Raw genomic sequence first — 21,433 nt, forward strand, 5'->3', positions numbered from 1 at the left:
TTCTGTAATTTTAGTACCTTACATTTAATAGATACTCAACATACATAGGAAGGAAGGACAGAAGGGGAGGGACAGAAGAAAGGAAGAAGGGACAATGTGAATCATCCAAAAAGTATTGCTATCATGATTATTTGGTTTTCATTGGTATTCATTATGTAACATCAAGCTCACCTTCCTACTATATGTTGAGTTTATACAGTGTTACTTTTTATAAATATGCATCTGTGAGCACATATAAACTATGATTGGGAGAAGCAAAGGGGTGATTTATTGATTTATGCAACATATGCAGAGACACCTCTGGAGCCAGGCATTGGCAAAGTAGATGCTAGGGATGCAAAAAAGAGCAAGACACTGAGGCTTGGGCCTGTCTGAGACACGTCCACGTAGACAGCTCACTAAAGAGGGAGGCCCCAAGTAGATGAGAATTAAGAAAAGGGCTGAGTTCAGAAAGATGTGATGGCTAATCTAAAAGCAAAAAATAAAATTCACTAATTCTAGATTCATTTTCCTCTTCTGACTTTTCCAAAATTACTTTTCATATTAGTTCATTCTCACATTGCTAATAAAGACATACTCAAGACTGGGTGGTTTATAAAGGAGAAAGGTTTAATTGACTCACGGTTCAGCATGACTGGGGAGGCCTCAGGAAACTTACAATTGTGGCAGAAGGGGAAGCAAACATGTCTTTTTTTAATTTTTTTATTTTTATTTTTTATTATTATTATACTTTAAGTTTTAGGGTACATGTGCACAATGTGCAGGTTTGTTACATATGTACATGCGCTGCACCCATTAACTCGTCATTTAGCATTAGGTATATCTCCTAGTGCTATCCCTCCCCCCTCCCCCAACCCCACAACAGTCCCCAGAGTGTGATGTTCCCCTTCCTGTGTCCATGTGTTCTCATTGTTCAATCCCCATCTATGAGTGAGAACATGCGGTGTTTGGTTTTTTGTCCTTGCGATAGTTTACTGAGAATGATGATTTCCAATTTCATCCATGTCCCTACAAAGGACATGAACTCATCATTTTTTATGGCTGCATAGTATTCCACGGTGTATATGTGCCACATTTTCTTAATCCAGTCTATCATTGTTGGACATTTGTGTTGGCTCCAAGTCTCTGCTATTGTGAAGAGTGCCGCAATAAACATACGTGTGCATGTGTCTTTATAGCAGCATGATTTATAGTCCTTTGGGTATATACCCAGTAGTGGGATGGCTGGGTCAAATGATATTTCTAGTTCTAGATCCCTGAGGAATCGCCACACTGACTTCCACAATGGTTGAACTAGTTTACAGTCCCACCAACAGTGTAAAAGTGTTCCTATTTCTCCACATCCTCTCCAGCACCTGTTGTTTCCTGACTTTTTAATGATTGCCATTCTAACTGGTGTGAGATGGTATCTCATTGTGGTTTTGATTTGCATTTCTCTGATGGCCAGTGATGGCGAGCATTTTTTCATGTGTCTTTTGGCTGCATAAATGTCTTCTTTTGAGAAGTGTCTGTTCATATCCTTTGCCCACTTTTTGATGGGGTTGTTTGTTTTTTTCTTGTAAATTTGTTTGAGTTCATTGTAGATTCTGGATATTAGCCCTTTGTCAGATGAGTAGGTTGCGAAAATTTTCTCCCATTTTGTAGGTTGCCTGTTCACTCTGATGGTAGTTTCTTTTGCTGTGCAGAAGCTCTTTAGTTTAATTAGATCCCATTTGTCAATTTTGTCTTTTGTTGCCATTGCTTTTGGTGTTTTAGACATGAAGTCCTTGCCCATGCCTATGTCCTGAATGGTAATGCCTAGGTTTTCTTCTAGGGTTTTTATGGTTTTAGGTCTAACGTTTAAGTCTTTAATCCATCTTGAATTGATTTTTGTATAAGGTGTAAGGAAGGGATCCAGTTTCAGCTTTCTACATATGGCTAGCCAGTTTTCCCAGCACCATTTATTAAATAGGGAATCCTTTCCCCATTGCTTGTTTTTCTCAGGTTTGTCAAAGATCAGATAGTTGTAGATATGTGGCGTTATTTCTGAGGGCTCTGTTTTGTTCCATTGATCTATATCTCTGTTTTGGTACCAGTACCATGCTGTTTTGGTTACCGTAGCCTTGTAGTATAGTTTGAAGTCAGGTAGCATGATGTCTCCAGCTTTGCTCTTTTGGCTTAGGATTGACTTGGCAATGAGGGCTCTTTTTTGGTTCCATATGAACTTGAAAGTAGTTTTTTCCAATTCTGTGAAGAAAGTCATTGGTAGCTTGATGGGGATGGCATTGAATCTGTAAATTACCTTGGGCAGTATGGCCATTTTCACGATATTGATTCTTCCTACCCATGAGCATGGAATGTTCTTCCATTTGTTTGTATCCTCTTTTATTTCCTTGAGCAGTGGTTTGTAGTTCTCCTTGAAGAGGTCCTTCACGTCCCTTGTGAGTTGGATTCCTAAGTATTTTATTCTCTTTGAAGCAATTGTGAATGGGAGTTCACTCATGATTTGGTTCTCTGTTTGTCTGTTATTGGTGTATACGAATGCTTGTGATTTTTGTACATTGATTTTGTATCCTGAGGCTTTGCTGAAGTTGCTTATCAGCTTAAGGAGATTTTGGGCTGAGACAATGGGGTTTTCTAGATATACAGTCATGTCGTCTGCAAACAGGGACAATTTGACTTCCTCTTTCCTAATTGAATACCCTTTATTTCCTTCTCCTGCCTAATTGCCCTGGCCAGAACTTCCAACACTATGTTGAATAGGAGTGGTGAGAGAGGGCATCCCTGTCTTGTGCCAGTTTTCAAAGGAAATGCTTCCAGTTTTTGCCCATTCAGTATGATATTGGCTGTGGGTTTGTCATGGATAGCTCTTATTATTTTGAGATACATCCCATCAATACCTAATTTATTGAGACTTTTTAGCATGAAGGGTTGTTGAATTTTGTCAAAGGACTTTTCTGCATCTATTGAGATAATCATGTGGTTTTTGTCTTTGGTTCTGTTTATATGCTGGATTACATTTATTGATTTGCATATATTGAACCAGCCTTGCATCCCAGGGATGAAGCCCACTTGATCATGGTGGATAAGCTTTTTGATGTGCTGCTTGATTTGGTTTGCCAGTATTTTATTGAGGATTTTTGCATCAATGTTCATCAAGGTTATTGGTCTAAAATTCTCTTTTTTGGTTGTGTCTCTGCCCGGCTTTGGTATCAGGATGATGCTGGCCTCATAAAATGAGTTAGGGAGGATTCCCTCTTTTTCTATTGATTGGAATAGTTTCAGAAGAAATGGTACCAGTTCCTCCTTGTACCTCTGGTAGAATTCGGCTGTGAATCCATCTGGTCCTGGACTCTTTTTGGTTGGTAAGCTATTGATTATTGCCACAATTTCAGATCCTGTTATTGGTCTATTCAGAGGTCCAACTTCTTCCTGGTTTAGTCTTGGGAGAGTGTATGTGTCGAGGAATTTATCCATTTCTTCTAGATTTTCTAGTTTATTTGCGTAGAGGTGTTTGTAGTATTCTCTGATGGTAGTTTGTATTTCTGTGGGATCAGTGGTGATATCCCCTTTATCATTTTTTATTGCGTCTATTTGATTCTTCTCTCTTTTTTTCTTTATTAGTCTTGCTAGCGGTCTATCTATTTTGTTGATCCTTTCAAAAAACCAGCTCCTGGATTTATGAACTTTTTGAAGCGTTTTTTTTTGTCGCTATTTCCTTCAGTTCTGCTCTGATTTTAGTTATTTCTTGCCTTTTGCTAGCTTTTGAATGTGTTTGCTCTTGCTTTTCTAGTTCTTTTAATTGTGATGTTAGGGTGTCAATTTTGGATCTTACCTGCTTTCTCTTGTGGGCATTTAGTGCTATAAATTTCCCTCTACACACTGCTTTGAATGTGTCCCAGAGATTCTGGTATGTTGTGTCTTTGTTCTCGTTGGTTTCAAAGAACATCTTTATTTCTGCCTTCGTTTTGTTATGTACCCAGTAGTCATTCAGGAGCAGGTTGTTCAGTTTCCATGTAGTTGAGCGGTTTTGAGTGAGTTTCTTAATCCTGAGTTCTAGTTTGATTGCACTGTGGTCTGAGAGACAGTTTGTTATAATTTCTGTTCTTTTACATTTGCTGAGGAGAGCTTTACTTCCAAGTATGTGGTCAATTTTGGAATAGGTGTGGTGTGGTGCTGAAAAAAATGTACATTCTGTTGATTTGGGGTGGAGAGTTCTGTAGATGTCTATTAGGTCCGCTTGGTGCAGAGCTGAGTTCAATTCCTGGGTATCCTTGTTAACTTTCTGTCTCGTTGATCTGTCTAATGTTGACAGTGGGGTGTTAAAGTCTCCCATTATTATTGTGTGGGAGTCTAAGTCTCTTTGTAGGTCACTCAGGACTTGCTTTATGAATCTGGGTGCTCCTGTATTGGGTGCATATATATTTAGGATAGTTAGCTCTTCTTGTTGAATTGATCCCTTTACCATTATGTAATGGCCTTCTTTGCTCTTTTGATCTTTGTTGAGCTCCTGAAGGAAGCACTAAACATGGAAAGGCACAACCGGTACCAGCCACTGCGAAATCATGCCAAAATGTAAAGACCATCGAGACTAGGAAGAAACTGCATCAACTGACGAGCAAAATAACCAGCTAACATCATAGTGACAGGATCAAATTCACACATAGCAATATTAACTTTAAATGTAAATGGACTAAATGCTCCAATTAAAAGACACAGACTGGCAAATTGGATAAAGAGTCAAGACCCATCAGTGTGCTGTATTCAGGAAACCCATCTCACGTGCAGAGACACACATAGGCTCAAAATAAAAGGATGGAGGAAGATCTACCAAGCAAATGGAAAACACAAAAAGGCAGGGGTTGCAATCCTAGTCTCTGATAAAACATGTCTTTCTTTACATGGTGGCAGCAAGGAGAATAGTGAGCAAAAGGGGAGAAAGGCCCTCATAAAACCATCAGATCTCATTAGAACTCACTCACTACCACGAGAACAGCATGGAGGTAACTGCCCCATTGATTCAATTACCTCCCACCAGGTCCCTCCCATGACACATGGGGACAATGGGAATTACAATTCAAGATGAGATTTGGGTGAGGACACAGACAAACCATATCACTTTTAGTCCTTGCTTCCTTGGGGAATTTCTTTTTCTTATGTCCTATACCTTCAGTAACCTCATAGCCATATCTTCTACTAACTTCTCAGCACATTGTAGAAAATATTGCTTTTAACCATTACGTTAGTATTTTTAAAATAAGAAAGAAAACTGGATTTGGCAAAAAAAAAAAAAAAAAAAGAAGAAGAAGAAGAAGAAAGAGTTGTATAGTACTTCTATAATGTTTGTAGTAAAAGAATAGTTAATATTTTTGTTATTAGAAAATTGAAGTTACTCGTGGTTTCCCAAAGCTGTGATCTTACCTTTTATATTTGTCTTCAAACTCCCTACTTTTCTCCAATCCCTGATGTTTGAATCACTTCAGACTCTCAGGAAAAGGATTTTAGATGTTAGAAAGTTTGGAGACCAAATGCAGATTTATACGCAGTTCCAAATACAAACATGGAAGTGAAGATGGCCAGAGATTTTACTGTAAAATTAACCTACTTAGGAATGTTTTAGCTTCCTGTATTAAAGGGCATAAATTCCTGTCTTAACAAATACACATATATGTTCATTATATGGCAAATGCCTGTTGATGCAGAAAGGTTGAGGATGTGATATGCTGATAAACTGAACATTCTAGAAATGAATTCACTACATTCAGCACATGAAATGAAAATGTCCACGTTCAATGCAGAACACTGAGCAGTATCACAAAGACTTTAATCTCTGGCAATCTGAAGGCACATCAGGGTCCACCCTCCAACCATAGTCACCCCTCTCTGGGCATCAGCTGTCATCATCCAGTGTTGTGGTCCTGGAGATTAGCCTGAAACTGCCTGATCTTACCCTGTGACTGCTCTGGAAATTGCACTTTTGAATCCACTCCCCAATAACTATTTGTTCACTTCACATTTTTCCTTTATGCACAACGATCTAGTCAGAAGTGGGTGGAGAGAAACCCCCACCACTGGGTTGCTTTCGTTGCTGAGATAACATTGGGACTGAGAACTGGGTCTTCAATGATGACTCATGAAGCCTGTGCTACCTCCACACTCCCGGTGGCTGTGGCTCTGGGAGCACACGTGGTGGCCTGGGCCTCATAGGTCACCACCAGCAGGAAAGCAGCTGGGAGCCCAGCTCCTATGAGGCCCATAGTAGCCATCTTTGTATACAAAGACCTGCCTGTTTTGTGTCCATTCCAATACTGCATTTAAGAGCCTTTCTGCCTTCTCTGGCAATGTTATGTGTGCTGAATACTACATGTATCAAGAAGAAAGGAATGGAAACCTCCATGACAGTATTCGGCTACCTCTTCAGATAATTTACCCAAATCTTTCAGATACATTTAAACAATTCTTTTGTCTATGATTTAACTGTTACAAATAATGCCAGTGTTCAAATCTGAAAATATTCTTCACATAGCTGGCGTTGCCATTCTCTACTTACAATCCCACTGTGACTCTAGGCATATAATGTTCTTTTGCATAAAATGTTCTTCTGCCTTTATCTCTCTTCTCTGCTTCCTGCCAAGCTTCCATTCCAATGTCCCTCCATTCCCTTTCCAGTCAGAGACCAGGTGCTTCTCTGCCTGCCTTGCTAATCTCTCCTGCATCCATTCACCTGTCTCCATACCCCTGCTATTATCCTAGCCAGGCCTGTAATTTTTAGAGCTGAAAAGAACCACCTCGTCCAAGCCTTTGCTTTCGAATGAGGAAAATCACCTAAAGAAATGAAGTTAATGGTCGTTGCTTCAGGACTGTAGCTTGAATATGACCATAACACCACCTTTCTCTAGACCTATACACACTATCACACAGCCAGTGTCTCTCCACCTCAATACATCCTGCAGAGATTCCAGGCTGTTCTTTCTGAGCCACTGCCACTAGGCTCCTTCTCAGCTCAAAACCTTTAGTGATCCTCCATTGCCTCCAGAAAAAAATCCAAACTTCTAAAACTCACATTCAACCATCAAGCTCACTCTTCCCAATCCTACCCTTTAGATACACTTTGCAACCAAGTCAACTGACCTATTCATCCCCAGGTATTCTTCACCTGTCCAGGTGAGCTTTTACTCTCACACCTATGTGCAGGCAACTCACAAGTCTGGGTCCCACTCCTAGGTGAGAGCAAATATTGAGTGCCCCACTTTCCAAGAATGCCTTCCTGGTTCCCACCAATTAAAAATCATCTCTCCTCTACTATTAGTGACACAGTTTCTCATTCATATCTCCCTTATGTCACCCATTAGCTTGTATAACAATTTTGTGAACACACTCACTTGGATAGTCTCTGTAGGTCTAAAGCTTCTTACAGAGAAGATCCTAGTGTGTTTCACTTTTGCATATAGTACCCACAACTCTTGCTTATAGCACCCACTCACCTAGGATTCAGAAATGAACCAGTTTGTTCATATATTTCCAAGTTATTAGCCAGTAAAGTTAGAACTCTCTAATTTCTCATAATCAAATGTTAACTTTTTGTTCATCCTTTTTGTTAGATGCAGTTGAGATGGAGACGATATTATTTTTGTTAGGATACACAGCTGAACTGTTAGGATAAACAGTGTAACTGTCACCCACTTGAAGATATTTTAAATTAATTATATACTAGTAGACGTATTTGACATAAAGTGTAAAACAATGTAAAACATCAAATAAATAAAATTTTTCTTCTAAAGGAAGTCTCACCCCCACCCCTTCCATACACACACATTTACACACAAAAGACTAAAGTTATCATAGAAACTCATCAAACGTTTACTGCCATCTTGTGGACAGACAGACATTAGCAAAATACCCAAAAGAAATAACAGCCTTTTATTTGCCTAAGCGGCCTCTACTTAAATGCTGTGTGATTAAACCAAAGGAAGCAGCCTCTTCGTTAATTAAACCATTTGCCCAGAAAGTGGTTAGTCAATGCCAGGGAAGCCTTTGTTAATTGTTCTTTATCATTACAGAACCCTAAAATGGTTGTCAGAAATGTGCATACAAATTATCTTCGTGTTCTCATTCCGAATATCCAAGAAGGGGTGGGAGCAGGGGCAGGTCAGGAAAAGGTGACTGGGTACATTTGTATAGGCTTTGCTTCCTGGAGCAAAAAAGCACAAGAAATCTTTTAATTAATGCATTAGCAATTAGCAGTTTGCACCCCAAAGTACACAATTTACTCTTGATGGTTCAACAGTCTCCTTGATAAATTGCTCCCAAACAAGTAGACATCGAAGATGAAGAAATGCCTGTTTCTCCACGTTACTGTAAAATCTGTGATTCACAGAAGGGACTACCAATGGCCATATTATTACCACTTGCATATTGGAATTTAAATTAATCCATAAGAAATGGGCATGAAATAGGGCTAACAAAATAAAATATTACTCAGCCTCCCGAGTAACTGGGACTACGGGCATGCGCCACCGAACCGGGCTAATTTTTGTATTTTTAGTAGAGACCAGGTTTTACCATGTTGGTCAGGTTTGTCTCAAACTCCTGACCTCAAGTGATCCGCCTGCCTCGGCCTCTCAAAGTGCTGGAATTATAGGCATGAGCCACCGCATCCGTCCTGGGAGGTTTTCTTTTTGTGTTAAATATAGTCCTTATTCAAATACAAAGCTGGACCATAGCTCCACACGTTTTCATGCTATTACTTTGTCTCCAGGGTACTTTATTGCTTTCTGCTGGCCTATAATGAAACTCATATGTGGCACTGAACTTAAAGAAATGATTTCTTATATGAATAAAACTAGATCTCAAAGAGAACCAACCAAGGTGTGTAGAGCAAAGCTGACCCATGTAGCAGGCACTTTCCCTGCCGTGTCCCCACCCCTCTGCCCTTCCCTGTTTTGGTTCTCTGGGCCTCAGGATCACTGTGTTTTGCATTTCTTTCTTTCATCCTTGCCTGCTTGTGTTAATCACTCTAGGAAACTTGTTTAGACGTTAGCTGTCAGATAAGGCCATCCCCAGCAGTCAGAAGAGAATCGAATATTCACTTATTTATTCACGGAGCCAAAATGTATTGACCACTTACTAGGTACCAGTTTCTCTGTAGACATAAGGATCTGAAGGTTCAGAATCACTCACCTGCATCTGCTCAGGCTGAGGGGAGTCAAATAGAAGACAGGAACAGAACGGCCTGGTAGGTGCAATGCCAGAGGTCTGTGCACAGGGTTGGCGGCAGCTTGCTGTACTAGATGTAAGGTGCATGGGGAGGAAATCAAGGGTGGCTGTCCTGAAGAGGTCAGGGAAAGGCTCATGCTAAAAGTACCTTTGCTCCATGTCAGGAAGCTTGACTGTTATGCTCCTGGAGAGTGGTCGTTGATGGTAAGTGACTTCGCCAGAGTTTCAGTTCACTTCTTTGGGAGCAATAGAAATGTAAGAAGGGAGAGGATACATGCAAAGGGATCAAGACTGGAATCAGGAAGAGTCGGCCAGGCACAGTGGCTCAAGCCTGTAATCCCAGCACTTTGGGAGGCCGAGGCGGGCAGATCACCTGAGGTCAGGAGTTTGAGACCAGCCTGGCCAACATGGTGAAACCCCGTCTCTACTAAAAATAAAAAAATTAGGCAGGCATGGTGATGGCCATCTGTAATCCCAGCTACTTGGGAGACTGAGGCAGGAGAATCACTTGAACCCAGGAGGCAGAGGTTGCAGTGAGCCAAGATTGTGCCACTGTACTCCAGCCGGGCAACAGAGTAAGACTCTGTCTCAAAAAAAAAAAAAAGAAAGAAAGAAAGAAAGAAAGAAAAAGAGTTGTTATGAAAGTCTTCCATAAATCCTGGCTACCATGGTCATATCCTGAGGCAGGCAGTGGAAATGGAGAAGACAGCTACTCAGCTCTTAAAGAGGTAGAAATAGCAAGGTTTAGTGACAGGTTGAATATGGATTCTGATTGCAAAGTGTTGACAATGACGCTCTGGTTTCTGTCTTGGGTGACTATGTGAAGTGTGGCGCTAGGAGGGAGAAAAAGTAATATCTTTTTCTCACTCATCACAGTTCATGGCTGAGACCCCTATCACAAAACACAAATTAACAAGAGGAAAGCATAGAGATTTATTTAACCTAACTTTTACCTGACACAGGAGACTTCGAAAATAAAGACCGAAAGAAATGAGGATATCTGTGTATTTTTATGGACAGTCCTGCAGAAGTATGATTGGAGGACAAACGGGTATGATCTAATGATAACAAACTGGGGGAAGCGGAGCAAGGCCTGTTTGTTCAGATTCTTCTGGGCATCTCTGTGTGACAGCCTTTCCCCCCCAAGTACAGGACAGGAAAGGGAATAATTAATGGTGAAAGCTCTAAGAGGAAGTGGGAGGAACAGGGGAGTATTTGAAATTAGCTTTGAATGGAAGGAAAGATATCTGGAAGTGAGGTTACAAGAAAAGATGGGTGTACATACAATTAAGTCTGTAGGTGGGAGGGTGAGAAGACGCTTCATTATCAACATGACAGTAATTAAATGCATCCTCAAACAGATCAGTTTGAAATGCCTCCTACTGTGAATAGACAAACTTGTTACGGAAACATCTCAGGAGACTCCTTGCAGGAAGGATGGGTAGATAGATGCTCCGATTCCTCCCGGTTTCTGCTTTGCCTTTACTTCCCTAATTTCACCCCACCGCCAGTGCTAACCTATTTTCAACTCAGAGCGGTTCTTGCCAAGATAGGTAGTGTTCTTTTTCTACATCCATTACTATTTTATCTTCTTGATCGCCTTCATCAGTACACATTTTCATGAGAATGCTTCCATGTTAGGTTTTATGAGAAGCCATGGAGGCTGCCTCCTGCCTTCTGTACATTGGTGATTTGACAAACAACAGTGATCTAGATGGAGGAGCTAAATATTAAACACATGACAATGCCATTGAAGATTATCTCAATTCTATGTGTGTGTGCGCACGCGTATGTGTGTCTATACGTAAATTTGGGGAGGGGAGGGGTAACCATTGCCTCCGTTTGCAAAGCTCAGTGCTTTCATTGGCGCTACCTTTTCATCCCAGGACAGTTTTGCTCGCACACACCAATTGTAGCTCCTTTTAAGGCGCTGAACTCTGATGTGTCGGCTGCTAGTATTGCCTGGAAACCAGCAGCACTGTGGTCATTCTTCAGGCTCCCTTTATATTGTTCTGGTAACATCCCCTGCTGTGAAGATTTCTCTGGCTCTGTCTGCTACAAATGTAGGGGATAGATATAATGCTGTCTCAGTCATTGTCACCTTTCTGAGCAGTACAGGCACGCTATGCAACACACGTGCAGTCAATTTAATAGGCATGACCGCTCTAGAAACTTTGGAGAAACAGCCAGCCTGGCCTCCTCACAAACTGTCTTTATTGGCCAGATTTCCACACTCAGAACCATCTCTGATTGTTTCTGTCCTGTTAAATATGAAATTGAGAAGTTCAAATGACAGCAAAGTGAAGCTTTTTGTACTTAAAGGTGTTGAAACTTACTCTTGACAAGGTCTATTTTAGGCTTTCATTTCATAAAAAAAAAAAACATGATCCACAATAAACTTTGATGACCCCACACATTGATCTGTTAGCAAGATCATCGCCTCATTTTCCTGCTAGAATCATCAAACACAATCTGTTCCTTTGGGGAGTGCTTTAAAAACATATAACCCTAATTGGAACTGTCTAGAGGTGTTTTGTTAGCTATCTTTCAGCCCCTTCTTTAAAAGCTGCATATTGCTACTGATAAGCACAGAAACTTTGGAATCAGACAGACCTACTGACCCACCCAGATATGTCACTCCTGTCCCAAACCTGTCTTCATCTATCAGAAGGCCAATACTATTTGCCACCCTGTCACAACTGTGTTATCATCATGTACTGAAACCCTATAGGGAAAGTAACTAACACAGTGCCTGCCTCATAGTGAGGGCTTGGTAAACATTAACTTAGGGAAAGACTTTTTTTTTTTTTTTTTTTTTTACTTTAAGTTCTGGGATACATGTGCAGAATGTGCAGGTTTGTTACATAGGTATACACGTGCCGTGGTGGTGGTTTGCTGCACCCATCAACCCGTCGTCTAGGTTTTAAGCTCCACGTGCATTAGGCATTTGTCCTAATGCTCTCCTTCCCTTGCCCCCACTCCACAACAGACCCCGGTGTGTGTTGTTCCCCTCCCTGTGTCCATGTGTTCTCATGTTCAACTCCCACTTAGGAGTGAGAATATGTGGTGTTTGGTTTTCTGCTTCCTGTGTTAGTTTGCTGAGACTCATGGCTTCCAACTTCATCCATGTCCCTCCAAAGGACACGATCGTATTCTTTCTTACGGCTGCATAGTATTCCATGGTGTATTTGTGCCACATTTTCTTTATCCAGTCTATCATTGATGGGCATTTGGGTTGGTTCCAAGTATTTGCTATTGTAAATAGTGTTACAGTAAACATATGTGTGTGTGTGTCTTTATAATAGAATGATTTATAATCCTTTGGGTATAGACCCGGTAATGGGATTGCTGGGTCAAATGATGTTTCTGGTTCTAGATCCTTGAGGACTTTTATTGAGGGAAGACAAGGGGGAGGAGAAAGTAGGATACAGGTCCTGCAAAAGGAAAGAGCCTAGGTCTTTGTTCTGCTATATCCCTTGTGGGCTACTATAACAAGGAAAAATTCCTGTGTGTAAAAAGTCTTGTGTCAGGCAGAGTTTTTTACTTGGACTATTGAAGATTTTTTTTCTTTCTTTCTTTGTTTTTACTATATAAATACTGTGACTCTTGCAACTGATCATGTTTTCCTCTTCATATTTTATGCCAGAAAGCCAACTACAAGCAAAACTCTTTTTTGATACTAATCTCACTTCTGGCACTATCTGATTTTCATGCACATTTTTTCCTTGCCTTACTTTTTGTTTTTATTTTAAATCCATATGAGATAGCTATATTATGTGCAACCATGTAAGCTGCTCTAAATCACTTTTTGGATAAAGGATATCCTTGATAAAAAATAAATAATGGATAGCCATATTTTTCCCTTTGGGTTCTAGTTTGGAATAATCCATTATTTATCTCAGAACTCAGCAAGTCAGAATCTTGCTCCAAGCCAGCAAAATCATCTAAGAGAATGCCCCAGAATTACTGCAGAGGTCACCTTTAGGCATGAATGGACAATGCGTTTCAAATGGCCCATTCATTCTGTCCTTGGCACAGATGCTGTTGTGGATAATTATTTTGATGCTAATATATGTGTATATCTTTTTTAATGTGGATACTAGACTGAAAAATTGGACTGAGACCAATAATCAACAGATGGCAATCACTCGGGGTCATGACTATTCTGGGCCACATTTTCACTGGTGACTTTCAATTATATTGAGACTTATAGTCCCAATCTGGCCTAGCAGTATCTCCCCCATTGTCTGCATACCCACTCAGCACCATCCCACTGTGACAGTCTGTGAATACTCTCCTTACAAGAAAAAAGACTTTCCTGTATGTGACTGCACAAGAGTCCCAAAGTAAAGATTGTAGAAATATTTCACCATCAGTGAACTTGAAATATCCTGTATTTTTATTTCTTAGTGTTATTACACTTAGTGTAAGTGATGCTTCAAAACCTATTCTTTTTAAAAAGCATCTGTCTCAAGGAGTATCATTTGGAAATAGCATGAAAAAAGTGTCGTAGGTCACTGCAAAAGTAGATTTGACCTGTGTCAGTCATATTTGAATGATTCGGTTTAATCTCACACTTTGCTATTGAACACATACTCTTTTCAAGCCACTCTGTGTGTGCTACAGGATGACAGCTCTGAAGGAGTCCATGATTCAGGTGGGTACAACATTGTCTCATTATGATATGTAATACGGAGGACATAGTGATGAGGATTTCCCATCATGCCTCCCTTTACTGTTTAGAGCCATATTCATGCAATAATAGGAAGCAGCTGAGGCAGCTGTCATCCCAGAGGCAGCTCAGTCATGCCCCAAATACCTTGGTTGGGACCTCTTGAACAAGAGTGATAGGATATGCAACTCAACCTAGATTAAGCAAAAATGGGGAATTTACTGGCCAATGTAATGGAAAACTCAGGGCCTGGAAGCTACTTCAAAATATTTTAATCTCATGACTCAAACAATGTCACCAGGATCCCATCTTCCTCTCTCAGAACCTGTAGCTCTGCCTGCCTGTGCTGGCTTCAGCCTCAAACACATCCTGGCTACTTGGCAGCCCCAGAAGCTCTATTGTTACTTCCTTACAACTATGAGGGAAAAGGCATCTTCTCTTTCCCAGTTGCTTCAATACAAGTTCTGGGATTCATTCCGATTTGCTGAACTTGATCATCCCCATATTAGTTTGCTAGGGCTGCGTAACAAAGTACCCCACACTGTGTGGCTTAAACATCAGAGATATATTGTCTCACAGGTCTAGAGGCCTGAAGTTGATCAGGATGTCAGCAGAGTTGGTTCCTTCGGAGGCTGTGAGCCTCTGCTCCCTGCCTCTCTTCCAGCTTCTGGCAGCCCTGGCCTGTGGCTGGCTTTCTCTCTGTCTTCACATTATCCTCTTCTATGTGTGTCCAAGTTTCCCCTTTTATTAGGACACCAGTTATCCTGGATTAGGTCCCACTCAGTGATTTATTTCATTTAAACTTGATTACCTCTATAAAAATCCTATATTCAGCCAGATGCAGCAGCTCATGCTTATAATCCCAGCACTTTGGGAGGCCGAGTCACGTGGATCACTTGAGGTCAGGAGTTCGAGGGCTCCAAACAAGAAGAAGGAGAAGGAGAAGAAGAAGGGGAAGAAGGGGGGAGGAGGAGGAGGAGGAAGAGGAGGGGGGAAGAGGGGAAGGAGGAGGAGGAGAAGGAGGAGGAGGAGGAGGAGGAGGAGGAGGAAAAAATGTATATCGAAATAAGGCCACAGTGTGAAGTAGTAAGGGTTAAGACTCCAACCCATCCTTTTTAAGGAAGACACAATTCCCCATAACAACCCCTAAACCAAACACTATGCAAGAGGAACAAAAAGCACTTATTGGCTGCTTCCAGATCACTTGAGCAACCCCAGAGCTGACAGTGGTGTCATCTCCTTAAATATAAGGGGTAAGAGTGAAAAAGGATTTGTTCTCCCAGGAAAAATCAGACTAATCTACCCAAAGAAGGAGAACCAGATGCTGAGTAGGCAAAAGCAATATTAATTATAGTAAATATTTACATCAAAACAAAGGCCTCAATCTTATGCACATACCTACATCTGACCTACATATGAGTAGCCAGATACATTACTGAGTGCATACACTGTATTATTTAAATAGAATCATAGCATTCACATTTCTCTCTACTACTCCACTGGTTAAGAGAAGTTTTGCATTTGAGCATCATTTTAATAAGATGAAATTGCATTGGGCTGCTTAGATGCCAACAGTGGGGAGGGTAAACCTAACAAGAACAAGAAGACAATATTGATCGCCTGCTTCCATCAGTTACCAAAGAACAAAGCATCGATGGTTGAGGAGCAGAGGGATGGGCATGGCATCACCTTTGGCTGGTGTCTGGCCGTGGATGAAAGCAGGAAGGAGCAGCTATCAGGCAGGGATGTTGAATTTACAGCAGGGGGTCTTCCCATCCCCCTCTCATGTCACAGTCAGTGTTACGCATCAACCAAGGCATTTGTTTCCATTGAGCCTCCGCAGAGCTCAGAACCAAGCATGTGTGTGGTCTCGGTGTCTGGCACACCCAGGAGTCATGCAGCGCACCTCTTCATTCCCACACCTAGCAGCCAAGTGCCAGTTTCTTCAGGCCAGGCTCCAGGTAATCTTTACTACCCAATCAGAATTGGCTCAAGAAATTCAAGCCACTTGCCTTCTGGGCCTTAAAGCCTCCATCGGGCCTTCTAAGATTTCTTTTTTTTGGTGGGGGGAGTGGGATGGGGAGACAAGATTTTGCTTCGTTGCTCAGGCTGGAGTGCAGTGGCACGATCACAGCCAGGCACAGTGGCTCATGCCTGTAATCCCAGCACTTTAGGAGGCCAAGGTGAGAGGATCACTTGAGCCCAGGAGTTCAAGACTAACCTGGGCAACATAGTGAGATCCCTGTCTCTACAAAAAAAAAAAAAAAAATTTTAATGAGCCAGGCATGGTAGCATGCACCTGTACTCCTAGTGACTCAGGAGGATGAAGTGGGAGGAACCCTTCTGATATTTCTGCCCTAAGAGTGCTTCCTCTCCTGATCTCTCTTAGGCCCATCTTGTTCCTGGATGCTTATTTTATATGCATCCAAATATGCACAAGACATATATTCAGTATCACCAAATAGTAGTTTTATTGTATGTAATAAATCCTTGGCTTGGCGCACTCTTATATAGATTAGAAACAGTATTCTTTATGTCAATGAATGTCACCACTTCTGTCAAGTACTTCTAGTTTCTACAGGCTCAAGAATACCTTTTCTTGACAATGGTTCAGGATATAGGCTGGTATTCTGCCAGCCTTCTCACTGTTAGTTCATTTCTTTAATAGCATCTTGGTGAGAGTCTTTTCAGAACCCAGGGACTCCAGCCTCCACCCCTTCTATTAACTAAAAATCCCTGAATAACCCTCCATATGGTGCCGGCATGGCATTTGATAAATACCTTGCTGATTATTTATCTGACTTTACATTTATTTTGACAGATTGAGCACGTTAGTCTGTATTGAAACTAAGCTCTTGTTGTAAATATCTTCCTACGGCTCTCTGGCGCTGTGTTGAGTGATCTACTGAACTTCTGCCACAGCAAACTTGGGGGAAATGAGGAAAAGGAAGGCACACTCTGAAACAAAAGCAGACAAAAGCAATTCTGAAAAGCAAGAAAAGGGACAGAACTCCATTGGAGGTCCTGGTGAATATATTTGTACCTTCTGTCAGCACGTCTCGTGACTGTAAACTGCTGTAACTACCAGGATCAATAAAGGGCAAGGCCTTGAGATAGTAATTATGCTAATTGGTAGTGACTAGAAAACACGCAGGCTGCAGGATAAGCAGACAGTGTCTTGGGAGAAACAGACACATTTGTTAAGAAGGGCAAGGTCTGGTAGGCTTCGTGAGACTTTTCCTATAATCAGTTTTCTAAGAAACACCACGTGCATCAGCCAACATAGTTTGAGTTCTTCCCTCGGTAGAAGATTGTACCAGGCACTGCAGAAGAATATCCAAGAAAGAAAGACTCAGCACCTGCCTTCTGGAAGCTTACAGCTTAGCTCATTCTCCAGGCATGCCCAAGCACGTGCACACACGCACACACACACACACACACACAAATTGAAAGACATTTTTACTGTATAAAAAATTGTCAAGAACTGAGAATCTGCCAGATATGGTGACTCATACCTATAATCCCAACTACTTAGGGATGCTGGGATGGGAGGATCACTTGAGGCCAGGAGTTCAAGACCAGGCTGGCCAATGTAGTAAGACTGTCTGTTAAAAAAAAATAATTAATTTTATATTAGCTGGTCTTGGTGATGCACACCTGTAGTCCCAGCTACCAGGGAGGCAGAGGCAGGAGGATCACTTGAACGCGGGAGTTGAAGTCTGCAGTGAGCTCTGATTGTACCACTGCACTGCAGCCTGGGCAACAGAGTAAGACTCTATGTTAAAAGATTTTAAAATTGAGAGAACTAAGAACGTAAATACCAGAATGCTATCAAAATGAGAAGGGACCAAAGTCAAGTGGTTTGTAGGTACCATGTTTGAGATGGAGCTTTGACTAGAGACTGGATGAAGGCATCTCAAGGCAAGAGATTTTTGTTCTTGGTAAAGAAAGTTAAGAATCTCTGACACAGAAGCTTCCCAGTTGTCATTGTATTACAGTTGCGAAAAACACCTTATTAGATGTGGAAGTTTAAAAGCTATCATTTACCATGTCCATGAATGTAACATGGATACTGCAATGAACTGAAAGTTTGTGTCCCCACAAAGTCCGTATGTTGAAATCCTAACTCTCAATGCAATGGTGTTGGGAGATGGGGCCTTTGGAAGATGATTAGGTCCTGAGGGTGAAACTCCCACAAATGGGATTAGTGCCCTTATAAAAGGAACTGCAGAGAGTTCTCCAGTCTCTTTCTACAATGTGAAGCAACAATAAGAAGACAGAAGTCTGCAACCCAGGAGAGGGTCCTCACCAGAACCCACCCATGCTACCACCCAGATCTTAGACTTCCAGCCTCCCGAACAGGGAGAAATAACCTTCTGTTGTTCATAAACCACCCAGTCTATGGTACTTTATTATAGCAGCTCAAACTGGCTAAGACAGACACTATCTTTGAACTGGTAATCAAATTAGTTAATCAGAGTGTGTGGATAGGTACCAAAAGAATAGACAAGCCAGTTGATTCACATTAATTACCTTGCTGGGCCACTGTGAAATTCTGAACTTTCCAATAAGCATTGACGATTAAAATTTTAGACAAAATTTTCTCTGGTCATTCGATTTATATATAAAGCTCAAGTATGAATAAAGCCTAAATATAGCTTAGTTAAATACATGAAAATTTAGAAAGACTATTGGAACGTCCTGGCTCTGTAAATATCAAATTCCTTTATCTTAATTGCAGCCTCAAATCACTAGCTCCAGTTATGAAAGATTACTTTCTCCAGAAACTAGACTACAGAATAGTAAGTAAAGTTTTCTATTATTTTATTCCATGAAAGAGATATGGGAAATCATAAATACCACACTTATCCTAAGTATCATATTTCAGTGTTTAAAGAAAATTCTGACAGTTCTGATTAAATAGGTCAGATCCGAAGGATAAGATTCACCATAGAGCTCTGGACTCCAATGTATGTCTTTTAAAAGAATGTCCAAACAGCACTATCATGTGAATTTCGTGTATTGGGTGTTCCGTGATGTTGGGTAGTGTAGAAAGAGACCTGAGCTAAAACCTGTGATGATAAGTCATTTCCCCTCCAAGGGCTGGCTGCAGCTTCCACTCTGCAGAAGGGATGAAGTTGGGCAGGGAGAGTATGACCTGGATGATCTATGAGAGCTTTGGAGTTCTGAACAAACGTTGGAAACGGATTTAGGGAACATGTTTGCAGGGTTGCATAACTGCTACCAGCAGGGGGCAGCACGGCTCAGATAATTACTATTTCTTGCCCTTCCTCATTTAGGAAAAACCTATGGAAAATAGGGACTTACCCCTCAGCCTTCAGGAGTCCTGTAACATATAATGGACCAAAGCCAAGGACTGCCCTTGCCTCCAAAGGGTTTGATTTTTCAAGACACAAACACCCGATAGGTGCACCGTCAACGACATTCCCCACGGACGCCTTCAATGATGATGTGACTTAGTGTTGACTTTCCTTTTTATCTTTGTCTTCTCTTTATTTCCTAGTTGTTTCTAGTCAGAGGAAGGATAGCTTTATACAGAAATAGGATTTATTTATTTATTTATTTATTATTTATTTTAATTGATCATTCTTGGGTGTTTCTCGCAGAGGGGGATTTGGCAGGGTCACAGGACAATAGTGGAGGGAAGGTCAGCAGATAAACAAGTGAACAAAGGTCTCTGGTTTTCCTAGGCAGAGGACCCTGCGGCCTTCCGCAGTGTTTGTGTCCCTGGGTCCTTGAGATTAGGGAGTGGTGATGACTCTTAAGGAGCATGCTGCCTTCAAGCATCTGTTTAACAAAGCACATCTTGCACCGCCCTTAATCCATTCAACCCTGAGTGGATACAGCACATGTTTCAGATAGCACAGGGTTGGGGGTAAGGTCACAGATCAACAGGATCCCAAGGCAGAATTTTTCTTAGTACAGAACAAAATGAAAAGTCTCCCCCGTCTACCTCTTTCTACACAGACACGGCAACCATCCGATTTCTCAATCTTTTCCCCACCTTTCCCCCCTTTCTATTCCACAAAACTGCCACTGTCATCATGGCCCGTTCTCAATGAGCCGCTGGGCACACCTCCCAGATGGGGTGGTGGCCGGGCAGAGGGGCTCCTCATTTCCCAGTAGGGGCGGCCGGGCAGAGGCGCCCCTCACCTCCCGGACGGGGCGGCTGGCCAGGTGGGGGGCTGACCCCCCCCACCTCCCTCCCGGACGGGGCGGCTGGCCGGGCGGGGGGCTGACCCCCCCACCTCCCTCCTGGACGGAGCGGCCGGCCAGGCAGAGGGGCTCCTCACTTCCCAGTAGGGGCGGCCGGGCAGAGGCGCCCCTCACCTCCCGGACGGGGCGGCTGGCCGGGCGGGGGGCTGATCCCCCCACCTCCCTCCCGGACGGGGTGGCTGGCCGGGCGGGGGGCTGACCCCCCCACCTCCCTGCCGGACGAGGTGGCTGCCGGGCAGAGACGCTCCTCACTTCCCAGACGGGGTGGCTGCTGGGCGGAGGGGCTCCTCACTTCTCAGACGGGGCGGTTGCCAGGCAGAGGGTCTCCTCACTTCTCAGAGGGGGCGGCCGGGCAGAGACGCTCCTCACATCCCGGACGGGGCGGCAGGGCAGAGGTGCTCCCCACATCTCAGATGATGGGTGGCCGGGAAGAGGCGCTCCTCACTTCCTAGATGGGATGGCGGCCGGGAAGAGGCGCTCCTCACTTCCTAGATGGGATGGCGGCCGGGCAGAGACGCTCCTCACTTCCCAGACGGGGTGGCAGCCGGGCAGAGGCTGCAATCTCGGCACTTTGGGAGGCCAAGGCAGGCTGCTGGGAGGTGAAGGTTGTAGCGAGCCGAGATCACGCCACTGCACTCCAGCCTGGGCGCCATTGAGCACGGAGTGAACGAGACTCTGTCTGCAATCCCCGCACCTCAGGATGCCGAGGCTGGCGGATCACTCGCGGTTAGGAGCTGGAGACCAGCCCAGCCAACACAGCGAAACCCGTCTCCACCAAAAAAATACGAAAACCAGTCAGGCGTGGCGGCGCGCGCTGGCAGGCTGAGGCAGGAGAATCAGGCAGCAGTACCGTCCAGCTTCAGCTCGGCATCAGAGGGAGGCCGTGGAGAGAGGGAGAGGGAGACCGTGGGGAGAGGGAGAGGGAGAGGGACAGAGGGAGAGAGGGAGAGAGGGAGAGGGCAGGATTTTTTTTAAGTAAGAATTCTTTACCAATCCTTCTTTCCCCAACATAAAATCTCCTATTTGAAGTGAAGTTTGAGGTAGGGACTCGAGAGGCAGTGCCTCAAGAAAGCCACACATTGTACAATGGAGAGCAGGGATGAAAACATTGTATAGAAGGAAATGACTCTTCCTTTTGTTAGGAAAGGAAAAAAGAAAAAGAAAAAAGCCATTAGCTGAGCAGTGCTGCCCCCTGCAGCTGAAAGGAAATGAGAAAAGAGGCTGAAATAATTGAGCTCCCTTGTTCTGTGAATTGTGTTTTCTTTGCAGGATTAAGTGTTTATTTAAAAATCCAACTTGCATTATAGCAGAATACTAAATTCTGTCTTC

At 42.8% G+C, this 21,433-nt stretch overlaps 1 annotated feature.

Annotated features, from left to right (window-relative positions):
* Positions 15,349-15,935: an enhancer, noted in NCBI's record as "NANOG hESC enhancer chr6:148495187-148495773 (GRCh37/hg19 assembly coordinates)". NCBI's record gives its function as "activates a minimal SCP1, AML or CMV promoter by ChIP-STARR-seq in naive H9 embryonic stem cells {active_cell/tissue: H9 hESC(naive)}" and the evidence as "EXISTENCE:reporter gene assay evidence [ECO:0000049][PMID:30033119]".

This window comes from Homo sapiens, chromosome 6, assembly GCF_000001405.40.
Source record: "Homo sapiens chromosome 6, GRCh38.p14 Primary Assembly".
Lineage (NCBI taxonomy): Eukaryota > Metazoa > Chordata > Mammalia > Primates > Hominidae > Homo > Homo sapiens.